We start from the raw sequence: 16,347 nt of genomic DNA, 5'->3' as shown, positions 1-16,347 counted from the left end.
CTGAGCATTTTGGGAGGCCACGGCAGGAGGATTGCTTGAGCCCAGGAGTTCAAGACCAGCCTGGGCAACATGGCGAGACCCTGTCTCTACAAAAAAATACAAAAAATTAGCCAGGCATGGTGGCATGTGCCTGTAGTCCCAGACACTCAGGAGGCTGTGGTGGGAGGATCACTTGAGCCCAGGAGGTAGAGGCTACAGTGAGCTGTGATTATGCCACCCTACTCCAGCCTGGGCAACAGAGCAAGACCTTGCCTCAAAAATAAATTAATAATAAATAAATAAAATGTAAAATAAGGTCATATGTGTGCCCTGCTTAAAACCCTCCAGTGGTCTTACATTGTACCGTAAAAGCTCAATTCTACCTCTACCTCTACCTCTACCTCTACCCCTACCCCTACCCCTACCCCTACCCCTACCCCTACCTCTAGTCTACGTCTACCGCTACCGCTACCTCTACCTCTACCTCTCCCATGCCGAGCCGAAGCTGGACTGTACTGCTGCCATCTCGGCTCACTGCAACCTCCCTGCCTGATTCTCCTGCCTCAGCCTGCCGAGTGCGTGCAATTGCAGGCGCGCGCCGCCACGCCTGACTGGTTTTCGTATTTTTTTGGTGGAGACGGGGTTTCGCTGTGTTGGCCGGGCTGGTCTCCAGCTCCTAACCGCGAGTGATCCGCCAGCCTCGGCCTCCCGGGGTGCCGGGATTGCAGACGGAGTCTGGTTCACTCAGTGCTCAATGGTGCCCAGGCTGGAGTGCAGTGGCGTGATCTCGGCTCCCTACAACCTCCACCTCCCAGCCGCCTGCCTTGGCCTCCTAAAGTGCCGAGATTGCAGCCTCTGCCCGGCTGCCACCCCGTCTGGGAAGTGAGGAGCGTCTCTGCCTGGCCGCCCATCGTCTGGAACGTGAGGAGCCCCTCTGCCTGGCTGCTCAGTCTGGAAAGTGAGGAGCATCTCTGCCCGGCCGCCATCCCATCTAGGAAGTGACGAGCGCCTCTTCCCGGTCGCCATCCCATCTAGGAAGTGAGGAGCGTCTCTGCCCGGCCGCCCATCGTCTGAGATGCGGGGAGAGCCTCTGCCCCGCTGCCCCGCCTGGGATGTGAGGAGCGCCTCTACCCGGCCGCAACCCCGTCTGGGAGGTGAGGAGCGTCTCTGCCCGGCCGCCATCCCATCTAGGAAGTGACGAGCGCCTCTACCCGGCCGCGACCCCGTCTGGGAGGTGAGGAGCGTCTCTGCCCGGCTGCCCCATCTGAGAAGTGAGGAGACCCTCCGCCTGGCAACCGCCCGTCTGAGAAGTGAGGAGCCCCTCCGCCCGGCAGTCACCCCGTCTGGGAAGTGAGGAGCGTCTCCGCCCAGCAGCCACCCCGTCCGGGAGGGAGGTGGGGGTCAGCCCCCGCCAGGCCAGCCGCCCCGTCCGGGAGGGAGGTGGGGGGGTCAGCCCCCCGCCCGGCCAGCCGCCCCGTCCGGGAGGTGAGGGGCGCCTCTGCCCGGCCGCCCCTACTGGGAAGTGAGGAGCCCCTCTGCCCGGCCAGCCGCCCCGTCCGGGAGGGAGGTGGGGGGGTCAGCCCCCCGCCCGGCCAGCCGCCCCATCCAGGAGGGAGGTGGGGGGATCAGCCCCCTGCCCGGCCAGCCGCCCCGTCCGGGAGGGAGGTGGGGGGGTCAGCCCCCTGCCCGGCCAGCCGCCCCGTCTGGGAGGGAGGTGGGGGGGTCAGCCCCCCGCCCGGCCAGCCACCCCGTCTGGGAGGTGAGGGGCGCCTCTGCCCGGCCGCCCCTACTGGGAAGTGAGGAGCCCCTCTGCCCGGCCAGCCGCCCCGTCTGGGAGGTGTACCCAACAGCTCATTGAGAACGGGCCATGATGACAATGGCGGTTTTGTGGAATAGAAAGGGGGGAAAGGTGGGGAAAAGATTGAGAAATCGGATGGTTGCTGTGTCTGTGTAGAAAGAGGTAGACATGGGAGACTTTTCATTTTGTTCTGTACTAAGAAAAATTCTTATCCTGTTGATCTGTGACCTTACCCCCAACCCTGTGCTCTCTGAATCATGTGCTGTGTCCACTCAGGGTTAAATGGATTAAGGGCGGTGCAAGATGTGCTTTGTTAAACAGATGCTTGAAGGCAGCATGCTCGTTAAGGGTCATCACCACTCCCTAATCTCAAGTACCCAGGGACACAAACACTGCGGAAGGCCGCAGGGTCCTCTGCCTAGGAAAACCAGAGACCTTTGTTCACTTGTTTATCTGCTGACCTTCCCTCCACTATTGTCCTATGACCGTGCCAAATCCCCCTCTGTGAGAAACACCCAAGAATAATCAATAAAAATAAATAAATAAATAAACAAACAAATAAATAAATAAAAAGCTCAATTTTTACAGTGGCCTACAAGATTTTCCACGATCAGATTTCTTTCTACTTTTTTTTTTCTTTTTAGACAGGGTCTCACTCTGTCACCCAGGTTGGAGTGCTGTGGTGCAATGATGGCTCACTGCAGCCCCCAACTCCTGGGCTCAAGGAGGCTCCAGTGATCCTCCTGCCTCAGTCCCCAAGTAGCTGGGACTACAGGCACGTGCCATCATACCCAGCTAATTTTTAAATTTTTCTTTTGTAGAGATGGGGTTGCCTCTCTTGAAGGTTGCAGTGAGCTGAGATCGCGCCATTGCACTCCAGCCTGGGCAACAAGAGTGAAACTCCATCTAAAAGAAAAAAAGAGATGGGAGTCTCTCTATGTTGCCCAGGCTGGCTTCAAACTCCTGGCTTCAAGCAACTCTCCTCCCTTGGCCTCCCAAATTGCTAGGATTACAGGTGTCAGCCACGTACCTGGCCCTTTTCTTTTTCTATGACAATCTTGTGTTACCCTTTGCTCTTCAGAATACGGGGCTGGGCGCAGTGGCTCATGCCTGTAATCCCAGCACTTTGGGAGGCCAAGGCGGATGGATCACCTGAGGTCAGATGTTCGAGAACAGCCTGACCAATGTGGTGAAACCCCATCTCTACTAAAAATACAAAATTAGCTAGGTATGGTGGTACATGCCTGTAATCCCAGCTACTTAGGAGGCTGAGGCAGGAGAATTGCTTGAACCCGGGAGGTAGAGGTTGCAGTGAGCCGAGATTGTACCATTGTACTTCAGCCTGGGCAACAAGAGCGAAACTCCATCTCAAAAACAAAACAAAACAAAGCCTCTGCAGCTGTCCTGGCACTTTGAATGTCTTATTTTGTTTCTTAAATATGCTGTGCTTGTTTTCTGCTTACGGCTTTTGCACTTGCTATGTCCTTTCCTTTTTTTTTTTTTTTTTTTTTTTTTGAGATGGAGTCTCACACTGTTGCCCGGGCTGAAGTACAGTGATGAGATCTCAGCTCACTGCAACCTCTGCCTCCCAGGTTCAAGCAATTCTCCTGCCTCAGCCTCCTGAGTAGCTGGGATTACAGGCACCCGCCACCACGCCCAGCTAATTTTTTGTGTTTTTAGTAGAGATGGGGTTTCACTATGTTGGCCAGGCTGGTCTGGAACTCCTGACCTTGTGATCTGCCTGCCTTGGCCTCCCAAAGTGCTGGGATTACAGGTGTGAGCTACTGCACCCAGTCTTTTTTCTTTCTTTCTTTCTTTTTTTTTTTTTTCCTGAGACAGAGTCTCGCTCTGTCATTCAGGCTGGAGTGCAGTGGCATGATCTCAGCTCACTGCAATCTCTGCCTCCTGGGTTTAAGCGATTCTCCTGCCTCGGCCTCCTGAGTAGCTGGGACTACAGGTGTGCACCACCACGCCCAGCTAATTTTTGTATTTTTAGTAGAGATGGGGTTTTGCCATGTTAGCCAGGCTAGTCTCGAACTCCTGGCCTCAGGGGATCTGCCTGCCTCAGCCTCCCAAAGGGTTGAGATTACAGGCGTGAGCCACCGCACCCGGCCACTTGCTATGTCCTTTTCATAGAATGCCCTTCCCTCAGATTTTTAGGTGGCCTGCTCAGATCAAATGTCGCCTCAGAGAGTCTTTCCCTGGCTACCCGACCTAAAGTAGCTATCCACCACCAGATCACTTCCTATTCTGTTACCCTATTTGATTTTCTGAAAGCATAGCACTTACCTGTGTCTGAAGATATTTTACTTACTTGATTGTTTACCTTAGTAGCTCTCAATGTGTGGTCCTGGGACCAGCAGTATTAGCATCACCTGGGAACTTGTTCTAACTGCATATTCTCAGGCCCTACTCTAGACCTATTGAATCAGAAATTGTGAACATGGGATCCAAAGATCTGTGTGTAACAAATTCTCCACATGATGTTGATGAAAATTAAAGTTTGGCAGCCACTGGCACTCTTAGTCCATTTTATTTTTCTTTTCTTTTTTTTCCTTTTTTTTTTGAGACGGAGTCTTACTCGGTCACCCACGCTGGAGTGCAGTGGCGCGATCTCTCTCCCCGCAACCTCTGCCTCCTGGATTCAAGCTATTCTGCCTCAGTCTCCCGAGTGGCTGGGATTATAGGCACACACCACCACGCCCAGCTAATTTTATTTTTTGGGGGGGACAGAGTCTCACTCTGTCACCCAGGCTGGAGTGTAGTGGCACAATCCCAGCTTACTGAAGCTCCGCCTCCCGGGTTCACGCCATTCTCCTGCCTCAGCCTCCCGAGTAGCTGGAACTACATGGTAGCCACCACCATGCCCAGCTAATTTTTTTGTATTTTTAGTAGAGACGGGGTTTCACTGTGTTAGCCAGGATGGTCTCGATCTCCTGACCTCGTGATCTGCCCACCTCGGCTTCCCAAAGTGCTGGGATTACAGGCGTGAGCCACTGTGCCCAGCCTAATTTTTGTATTTTTAGTAGAGATGGGGTTTCACCATATTGGCCATGGCTGGTTTCAATCTCCTGACCTTGTGATCCGCCCACCTCGGCCTCCCCAAGTGCTAGGATTACAGCCATGAGCCACTCTTAGTCCATTTGCTGCTGTGACATCAGAATACCACAGACTGGGTAATTTATAAAAAATAGATGTTTACGTGGCTCAGTTCTAGAGACTGGGAAGTCTAAAAGCATGGCACTGACATTTGAAGAGGGTCACCCCATGGCAGAAGGCAGAAGGGCAAGTGAACATGTGAAACGGACAGTGCAGAAATTGGGCCACACTTTTCCTTTTTATCAAGAGTCCACTCCCATGATAAGTAACCCGCTTCCTCAATAATAGCATTAATTCATGCATGAGGGGAGAGCACTCCTCACCTGATAATCACCTCTGAAAGGCCCTACCTCTTAATATTGTTACAATAATAATTAAGTTTTCAACACATGAACTTCTGGAGGACACATTCAAACCATAGCAGTGGTTTACAGTGATTATTTCTTCTCTCTCTCATGACTGCCCTAGAATGTAAACTCCAAGAAAATTGAAGTCATCTGTCTTGTTCAGTACAGTCCCTCCAACGCCACACAGCAGGCACTCTAAAAATCGTTGTATGGAGGAAAATTGAGAGACTGATGAATGATCGAGCAACTGCTCTGGGATCTGTGTCAGACAGTCCAATAAAACTGAGTCCCAGGGACCTGTCTACCACCTTTCCACCACAGTCTGGCTATGTTGCCTAGGATGGAGTACAATGGTTATTGACAGGCACAAACAGAGTGCACTATAGCCTCAAACTTGAACTCCTGGGCTCAAGCAATCCTCCCACCTTAGCCTGTGAAATAGCAGAGACTAGGCCAGGCGTGGTGGCTCAGACCTGTAATCCCAGCACTTTGGGAGGCCAAGGTGGGCGAATCACCTGAGGTCAGGAGTTCGAGACCAGCCTGGCCAGCATGGTGAAACCCCATCTCTACCAAACACACAAACATTTGTCAGGTGTGGTGGCTCATGCTGGTAATCCCAGCTACTCAGGAGGCTGAGGCAGGAGAATCGCTTGAACCTGGGAGGTGGTGGTTGCAGTGAGCCAAGATGGCGCAACTGCACTCCAGCCTGGATGACAGAGCAAGACTCTGCCTCAAAAAAAAAAAAAAAAAAATAGCAGAGACTACAGGCATGTGCCACTGGCCCCACCAGAGCTTTTATCTGTGTAACAGATTTTCCAGGCAGATAAAACTGAGGAAGGGGTTCTGATGTAAAAGAAACACTTGAAAACTATGATTTAAACTGTTATTAATTAAAGTTTGGAAACTGCAAGCACATTCCAAGGTCCTCCTCAGAGAACCAGAAGGTTTGTGGATTGTATTCAATTAGAGGATAAGGACAATTTTTTTTTTCTTTTAAATTCTGGACAGCTCTTACTACATTAATACCAGAGTGACTGCTGACTGACAAAGTGGCTTTCTCTTTCTCAGTCTTTCTGCTTTATATCAATCCTGGGATCTTAAAAAAGAAAAAAACAACAACAAAAACACCACCTCTGAACCAATTAATTCTGCCTCCAGTGGCTTCTAAAAGCTTTCAGATTGAAAACATTGGGTCAACTCCCAGCTCAAATAGGAAAAGTGGAGACGACATTATCTTTGCAAAAGACATTGAATTTTAGAAAAGGATAAATCAACACCAAGAACAACATAAGAGGCCGTGGGAGCCCCTCCTTAGAAATAATATGTTGGCTTGAAGCAAATAGTGTGGGCCAGGCACCATGCTAGGTACCTGGGGTTCTCAAAGGCCACAAGAATATGGCTCAAGTCTCCAAGGAGCTCACAATCTGGAGAACAGATAAACATATACACAAATACCCAGCGCAGAGTGCAGAGTGCTAGTGCTGTAGGAATGAGTAACTCCTGAGTTTTGCCAGGGAAAGATTCCTGGAGGAGGTGATACTTGAACAGATCTGGAAGGCTGTGTCTTGTCAGTTAGGCATGAACGGAAGGACAATCTAGGCAGAAGGGATGACAAATTGAAAAGCACAGAGATGTAAAAGGGTAAGGATGGGTTCAAAAAATGGTTAAGAGAAGTGATGAATTTATATACACACATACACACATATATATAGTATATATATATATATCTATATAAATACACATTAGGAAAATTTGAATACTGACTGGCTATTTGATGAGATTAAGGAATTATTGTTAGTTTTAAAAGATATGTTAACGACATTGTGGTTATGTTGTAAGAGTCCTTATCTTTTGGAGATACATACTGAAATATTATTTCTGGGTAAAATGATGATTATCTGGAATTTGCTTCAATATAATATGGAGGGGGGCCAGGCATGGTGGCTCACTCCTGTAATCCCAGCAGTCTGGGAGGCTGAGACGGGCAGATCACCTGAGGTCAGGAATTTGAGACCAGCCTGGCCAACATGGTGAACCCCATCTCTACTAAAAATACAAAATTAGCTGGGCGTGCGCCTGTAATCCCAGCTACTTGAGAGGCTGAGGCAGAGAATCACCTGAGCCTAGGAGGTGGAGGCTGCAGTGAGCTGAGATTGAACCACTGTACTCCACCCTGGGCAACGGAGTGAGACTCCATCTAAAAAAAAAAATATATATATATATATATACGCACACACACACATACATACATATATATAATATAGAGGGGGCAGGAGAGGGCAGAGATAAAAATAAAATCAGGGTGGTCATGAATATATGAATACTTGTTGAAACTGGGTAATGCCCTCCAAGTGTGAAGTGACAGCCTTGTGTGTGATCTTTCTGCCTTCCCCAAGTTTGCATTTTTGACATTAAAGTTTACTTTTTAATTAAAAAAAAAAGAAACTGGGTAATGATATATGGGAAGTCATTATACTTTTTTTTTTTTTTTTTTTTTTTTGAGATGGAGTCTCGCCCTTTTGCCCAGGCTGGAGTGTGGTGGTGCAATCTCAGCTCACTGCAACTTCCACCTCCCAGGTTCAAGCAATTCTCCTGCTTCAGCCTCCCGAGTAGCTAGGACTACAGGCGCATGCCACCACACCTGGCTAATTTTTGTATTTTTAGTAGAGATGGGTTGGCCAGGCTGGTCTTGAACTCCTGACCTCAGGTGATCCACCTGCCTTGACCTCCCAAAGTGGTGGGATTAGAGACGTGAGCCACCATGCTTGGCCCATTATACTACTTTTTATACTTCTGTATGTAGTTGGGAATTTTTTTTTTTTTTTTTTTTGAGACGGAGTCTCACTCTGTTGTCCAGGCTGGAGTGCAGTGGTACAGTCTCGGCCCACTGCAACCTCCACCTCCCGGGTTCAGGTGATTCTCCTGCCTCAGCCTCCTGAGTAGCTGAGATTACAGGCGTGCACCACCATTCCCGGCTAATTTTTGTTATTTTTAGTAGAGATAGGATTTCATCATGTTAGCCAGGCTGGTCTCGAACAGCTGACCTCGTGATCCATCTGCCTTGACCTCCCAAAGTGCTGGCATTATAGGCATGAGCCACCGCGCCTGGCCTATATTTGGAACTTTTAATAAGGAAAGGTTGAGAGAGAGAGAAAGAGAAAGAGAAACACTGCCTAGAACAGTAGCTACCATTATAACAAGCATTCATTTTTTTTTCTGGCTTTCTTTGATGTGTCATTAGATTTGATCACCACACCACTCACAGACACAAGCTGGAGGGAAAAGCTGAGTGAGCCACCTGATGCTTTTCCTAGGCTGAGCCCTGCTTCCTGGTGGGTACTGTGTTACCCACAGTTTGAAGCAAAGACACAAGAGTAGCCTTTCACTATGGATTTGCACGGGAGGGGCTCTTGGCCCCCAAAATGTGCGCCGGTTTATCTCCCAGGAATTCTGAAGGCCAGCCTGACAGATGAGATATACTTGATAAGGGCTGAGCTGTGGCTCCAACCCTTAGACTCACAGAGGGCATAAAATTCAGCCTCCTCAGGGTTGACCTTTCTCTGTCTTAGTCTGTTCCTGCTGCTATAATAAAATACCATCAACTGGGTAATTTACAAATAATAGAAATTACTATTTCTATTAATTTCAGGCAACATGGAAAAACCCTATCTCCACAAAAAAATACAAAAGATTAACTGGGCGTGGTGCCGCGTGTGTCTGTAGTCCCAGTTACTCCAGAAGGTGGCTTGAGCCCAGGAAGCGGAGGTTGCAGTAAGCTGAGATAGCACCACTGCACTCCAGCCTGAGTAACAGAGAACCTGTCTCAAATAATGATGATGATGATGATGATGATGATAATAATAATAATAATAGAAATGTAGGCTGGGCACGGTGGCTCACGCCTGTAATCCCAGCACTTTGAGAGGCAGAGGTGGGCGGATCGCCTGAGGTCAGGAGTTCGAGACCAGGCTGACCAACATGGAGAAATCCCATCTCTACTAAAAACACAGAATTAGCTGGGCGTGGTGACACATGTCTGTAATTCCAGCTACTTGGGAGGCTGAGGCAGGAGAATCGTTTGAACCCGAAGGCAGAGGTTGCAGTGAGCTGAGATCACGCCATTGCACTCCAGCCTGGGCAACAAAAGTGAAAGTCCGTCTCAAAAAAAAAAAAAAAAAAAGAAAAGAAATGTATTGCTCACGGTTCTGGAGGCTGGGAAGTCTAAGATGAAGGCCTCCCAAAGTGTTAGCATTAAAGGCGTGAGCCACCATGCCCAGCCATAATGTCTCTTAAATTTGTGTGACATTTGGAAGTTTACAAAACATTTTCATTTGCCTTATCACATGCAGTCCTCATAACAAGCCTCCACATTAGTGATTAGTATTTTTTTCATTCCTCCCCCACCGACCCACCAAGGTCTAATAGCTACTCTGGGGCTTGAACTTAGGCTTTTTAACTCCCAGAATAAAGTTCCTCCCTAAATGTTTCAGTGAAGTATTGCTGTATGACAGGCTACCCCCAAAACTTTATTAGTTCTTATGGTTCTGTAGGTTGCCTAGGTGGTTCTTGTCTTGTCTGGAGTCACTCAGACAACTGCATTCAGCTACATGCTGGGGTGCCTCGCTTCCCCATGGCCTCTGCCTCTGGCTTGCTTGGACTTCCTCACAGCATGGCGATCTTAGGTTAGCTGGACTTCTTACATAGCAGCAGGCTTCCAAGAATGAAACTGGAAGCTATAGAGCCTTTTAAGACCTGGACGTAGGAGTCTCAGAACATCAATTCCACCATGTTCTGTTGGCTAAACCAATTCACAAGGCCAGCTTATATTTAAGCAGCGAGAAAAACAGATTCTCTTTTGATGAGAGGAGGGCAAGATATATTATAAAGAAGTATGAACACAGGGAGCCATTTTTCTCTCTTTTTAAAAAAACTTTAAGGCTGGGTGTGGTGATGAGGCTGAGCTACTTGGGAGGTTGAGGTGTGAGGATCACTTAAGCCCAGGAGTTTGAGTCTAGCCTGAGCAATATAGTGAGACCCATCTCTTGGGACAAAAAAAAGGATATATATCCTTTATATATATATATATATATATATATATATATAATAAATGTATGTATATGTATATATGTATATATAACATACATATATAAAACAGTTTTAGATATTCAGAACAATTGTGCAGATAGTTCAGAGAGTTCCCATATGCCACATTCAGTCCCCCCATATTAACATCTTATATTAGTATGGTGTATCTGTCGCAATGAATTAACCACATTGTGATTAACTAAAGGCCATACTTTATTCAAATTTCCTTAGATTTTACCTAATGTCTTTTTTGTGTTGCAGGATCCCATTCAGAATATTGCATTCCATATAGTTGGCACGCCTCCTTGGGCTCTTTTTGACTGTCACAGTTTCTCAGACTTTCTTTGTTTTTGATGACCTTCACAGTTTTGAGGGGTACTGGCCAGATATCTTTCTGGCCGGGTGTGGTGGCTCACGCCTATAATCTCAGCACTTTGGGAGGCCGAGGCAGGTGAATCACGAGGTCAGGAGTTTGAGACCAACCTGACCAACATGGTGAAACCCCATTTCTACTAAAAATTAGCCGGGCATGGTGGCAGGCGCCTGTAATCCCAGCTACTCAGGAGGCTGAGGCAGGAGAATTGCTTGAACCCAGGACGCAGAGGTTGCAGTGAACTGATATTGTGCCACTGCACTCTACACTGGGGGACAGAGTGAGACATTGTCTCAAAAAATAAATAAATAAATAAGTTGGGGTATTTACTATACACCAACTCCTTTTAGCTATTGGTGGAAAGTTCCTTCTGAGTACATTAACATCATGGTGATTGCAGTCTGCCTCAAGTGTGGGCTAAATATGTACCTATGGCCGGCTGGGTTCAGTGGCTCATGCCTGTAATCCCAACACTTTGGGAGGCTGAGGCGGGTGGATCACCTGAGGTTGGGAGTTGGAGACCAGCCTGACCAACATGGAGAAACCCCATCTCTACAAAAAAGGAAAATCAGCCGGCCATGGGTGGCCCATGCCTGTAATCCCAGCTACTCAGTAGACTGAGGCAGGAGAATCACAGGAGGCGGAGGTTGTGGTGAACCGAGATTGTGCCATTGCACTCCAGCCTGGGCAACAACAGTAAAACTCTGTCTCAAAAAAAAAAAAAAAGTACTTATGGCCACAGAAAGCCACCAGGCAAAGGATTATAGGTGCTGGCAGGAAAAAGGCATGAGAGTAAGGAGTCCTATGCCAAGGGAAGGTGTGCAGGGTACAATATACCTTGTTCCACTCTGATCTACTTGTATCCCACATTAAGTCCATTATGTTACTGACTCTTCAAGGTGGTAGCCAGTGACAATATCTAAACAAAATTAATAGAGGTGAGTTAATGGAAGTAGTCTCCAGGATGATCTTGTGACTTGCTCTGACCAGTAAAAATGGCAGAAGTGATATTGTAACAGCTTTAGAGCCTGGGCCTTGAGATGCCTTGCAGCCTCCACATAAGGATAATGTGCAGATCGCCACATGAGGAAGCAGGACTAGCCTCGTAAAGGATAAAAGGCAATGTGGAGGAATACCAAAGTGGGCCGGGTGTGGTGGCTCACGCCTGTAATCCCAGCACTTTGGGAGGCCAAGGCGGGAGGATCACTTGAGGCCAGGAGTTCAAGATCAGCCTGGCCAACATGGTAAAACCCCATCTCTACTAAAAATACAAAAATTAGCTGGGTGTGATGGCATGTGTCTATAATCCCAGCTACTTGGGAGGCTGAGGCAGGAGAATCATTTGAACCCTGGAGTTAGAGGTTGCTGTGAGCTGAGATTGTGCCACTGCACTCCAGCCTGGGCAACAGAGCGAGACTCCGCTGAAAAAAAAAGAGTCCCAAGCCAACAGCCAGCGTCAACTGCAAGACATGCGAGCAATACCAGCTTGGACCTCTCAGCATAGCCACTCTGCAGTTGAATGCAGCAGCTCCATGAGTGAGCCAAGACAAGACCAAAGGGGAACCACCCAGCCCACCCACAGAATCATGAGAAATAACAAATCGTTGGTGTCTTAAGCCACAGGATTTTGGAGTGGTTTGTTACCAGCAATAGGCAACTGAAATGCATATATTAATAATATACACCAACTCCAGTCAATCATTGTTTGGCAGTCGCTCCTGGGGACGTGAAAACCCTGGCTTTTCTGGTCTGCCCTGCTCATGAGTCAAGCCTGCTCCAGTGATCAGGGAAAACTCCCAGGCAGAGAGTCCCAGACACTTGCAGGAAGAAGCTGTCAGCATATATAGAAACAGCGAGTGCTGGGCGGATACAACAGGGGACAGCAGCATTTGCTACAACGTCAGAACCTTTTTCTCCGATTTATAAATATTATGTGGGGTGGAGGTGGGGGAGATGGAAAGGAGGTTTTTGTGAGGAAGCAAGAATTTTGGAGTGGATGGTGCCTCTGAGAGGCAATACCACCTAGGGGAAGAGTTTGCAGAACACAGAGGTGGGGCTATCAGAGACTCTGAAATTGGGGGCCTACCTTTTTTTTTTTGAGACTGAGTCTCCCTTTGTCACTCAGGCTGGAATGCAGTGGCACAATCTCAGCTCACTGCAACCTCTGCCTCCTGAGTTCAAGCAATTCTTGTGCCTTAGCCTCCTGAGTAGCCAGGATTACTGGCGTGCACCACCACGTGCGGCTAATTTTTGTATTTTTAGTAGACACAGGGTTTCACCATGTTGGTCAGGCTGGTCTTGAACTCCTGGCCTCAGGTGATGTACCCGCCTCGGCCTCCCAAAGTGCTAGGAATTACAGGCGTAAGCCGCCATGCCCAGTGGGGGCCTTCCTTATTCATCTCAACCTTTGGAACTGTCTAAGCGCTGCTGTCAGACTCTGTGCCTAGAATCCCACACATTGCTTGCTCTCGGGTTCCTCGCCATTGCCTGTTGCCCTCTGGTTGGTGTACCCACTTATCCCTTGCTGAACTCCTCACTAGCCTCCTGCCAACCAGTTGTCATTCTCACCTCTCAGCACCTAGCTGTCTCCCAGCCCCTCTTCCCCAGGTCCCCAGTGATAAAACATCCTATCCTTAAGCCTTTCTCCAGATCCTGTTCTGTTCAACTCTCATTCATTCTGCTTTTCTGCTCCATAAGAAGTGCTTTTCTGATATCACAACTATTAAACCTTAAGGAGGTTCAAAAAGGGGTTTGTCTAAAAAGATCTCATCAGTGAGATGAAATTACAGGAAATCTCAGGTGTGATTTTTTCCATTACTGCATTGTGAAGGAGATTATATTTAAAGTTGTAATAGATGTGATATCCTAGGCTGCAGAGTTGTTCCCAGGTACCAAATGTTGTGAATTAACATTTTAAAACATCTTAGAAGTTTACCAGCAGACATCTTTATTTTGTCTGAGCACTGAAAAAGCTAGAGAAGCACATTTCGTGTATATACTAAAATGAAACAAGTTCCTGTATTTGGAATACAAGGAACTAGTTCTACAAAGGACTGATCAAAGAAATTCACTTCCAAGCTGGGTGCAGTGGCTCATGCCTGTAATCCCAGTACTTTGGGAGGCTGAGGTGGGAGGATTCCTTGAGCTCAGGAATTCAAGGCCAGCCTGGGCAACAAAGTAATGCCTTGTCTCTACAAAAATTATAAAAAATTAAGGCCGGGCACGGTGGCTCACGCCTGTAATCCCACCATTTTGGGAGGCCGAGGCGGGTGGATCACAAGGTCAGGAGTTCGAGACCAGCCTGGCCAATATGGTGAAACCCTGTCTCTACTAAAAATACAAAATTTAGCTTGGCGTGGTAGCGGGCGCCAGTAGTCCCAGCTTCTCGGGATGCTGAGGTAGGAGAATTGCTTGAACACGGGAGGCGGAAGTTGCAGTGAGCTGAGATTGTGCCACTGCACTCTAGCTTGGGAGACAAAGCAAGAGTCTGTCTCAAAAAATATATATAAAAAATTAGCAGGCATGGTGGTGCACGACTGTAGTCCCAACTACTCAGGAGGCTGAAGTGGGAGGATCTCTTGAGATTAGGACTTTGAGGTTGTCGTGAGCCAAGGTTACAACACTGCACTCCAGCCTGGGTGACATAGAGAGATCCTATTTCAAAAAAAAAGAAAAAAAAAAGATACTCACTTCCCGTTTATTAAGACCACAAGAACAAAAATCATAGCATTTTGCATTAAGTATGTAAAAACACCCAGGTTAAAAATATCCAGAAGCAGGCAGGGTGCGGTGGCTCACCCCTGTAGTCCCAGCATTTTGGGAGGCTGAAGTGGGTGGACTGCTTGAGGCCAGGAGTTCAAGACCAGCCTGGCCAACATGACAAAAACCTGTCTCTACTAAAAATACAAAAATTACGGCCAGGCGCGGTGGCTCACGCCTGTAATCCCAGCACTTTGGGAGGCCGAGGTGGGCAGATCACGAGGTCAGGAGATCGAGATCATCCTGGCTAACATGGTGAAACCCTGTCTCTACTAAAAATACAAAAAATAGCCGGGCGTGGTGGCAGGCGCCTGTAGTCCCAGCTACTTGGGAGGCTGAGGCAGGAGACTGGCGTGAACCCGGGAGGCGGAGCTTGCAGTGAGCCGAGATTGCGCCACTGCACTCCAGCCTGGGCGACAGCGAGACTCTGTCTCAAAAACAAACAAACAAACAAACAAAAAAACAAAAATTAAGGCCAGGTACAGTGGCTTATGCCTGTAATCCCAGCACTTTGGGAAGCCGAGGCGGGTGGATTACGAGGTCAGGAGTTCGAGACCAGCATGACCAATATGGTGAAACCCCGTCTCTACTAAAAATAAAAAAATTAGCCGGGCATGGTGGCACGCGCCTGTAGTTTCATCTACTCGGGAGGCTGAGGCAGGAGAATCACTTGAATCCGGGTGGTGGAGGTTGCAGTGAGCCGAGATCACACCACTGCACTCCAGCCTGGGCGACAGAGCAAGACTCTGTCTTCAGAAACAAACAACAACAACAAAAAATTAGGCCGGGCGCGGTGGTTCATGCCTGTAATCCCAGCACTTTGGGAGGCCAAGGCGGGTGGATCACAAGGTCAGGAGTTTGAGACAAGCCTGGCTAACATGGTGGAACCCCGTCTCTACTAAAAATACAAAAATTACCCAGGTGTGGTGGCACGTGCCTGTAATCCCAGCTACTCAGGAGGCTGAGGCAGGAAAATTGCTTGAACCCAGGAGGTTCAAGTGAGTGGAGGTTGCAGTGAGCCGAGATCGCGCCATTGCACTCCAGCGCTCCAGCCTGGGTGACAGAGTAAGACTCTGTCTCAAAAATAAATAAATAAATAAATAAATAAATAAATAAATAAATAAATAAGCTGGGTGTGGCGGCGCGTGCCTGTGGTCCCAACTACTTGGGAGGCTGAGGCATGAGAATTGCTTGAACCCAGGAGGCGGAGGTTGCAGTGAGCTGAGATTGCACCACTGCACTCCAGCCTGGGTGACAGAGCAAGATTCTGTAAAAAAAAATCAATAAAATAAAATAAAAATCCAGAAGCAAAAATCTCACTTTAGAAGAAAAAGTTAGTCTTAAATCTAAGATCAGAACACATAGCGTGTTATCTACCTTTCCTGAGTTGCAAATGGTAGCAAAAATAAATGGGTTGGTTTCCTCTCCTTCATTCTAATATTTTCTACATCTTGTGATAGTTAACATTTTTGAGCATCAGCTATGAATCCAAACCTCCCGTTCATTTTACCTAATCCTCAGAACATCTACTATGCCAATTAGTTCTAGTTTAAATTCAGGACCACACCTCTCAAAAGGACTGTCAACGCTGCCAAGCAGTCCCACTACACTTCCCCAATACATTCTTTCCTCCATTCTCCAAAGCAACTTTTTCACACATTCTCTCTCTCTGCAAATCTCCCACCTCCTCCTCCACTTCCTCAGTCCTGCCTACCTCTCCCACATCTTCCCAGATCCCTCTCCACTTCACTCCATTCTAGATCTTTGTTAGGTTCTGTTGACATTCCAAACTCTCTCCTCTGCCTTATGGCTTTTGAAACTCCCCTTCCCTCTCATTGGAATGCTCCACACCCTGATCCTTAGAGGGCTAGTTGCTTTTTGTCTTCCTTACTTCTGTCTCAGCTCAA

This window comes from Homo sapiens, chromosome 2 (assembly GCF_000001405.40).
Source record: "Homo sapiens chromosome 2, GRCh38.p14 Primary Assembly".
NCBI lineage: Eukaryota > Metazoa > Chordata > Mammalia > Primates > Hominidae > Homo > Homo sapiens.
This window is presented reverse-complemented; position numbering follows the sequence as displayed.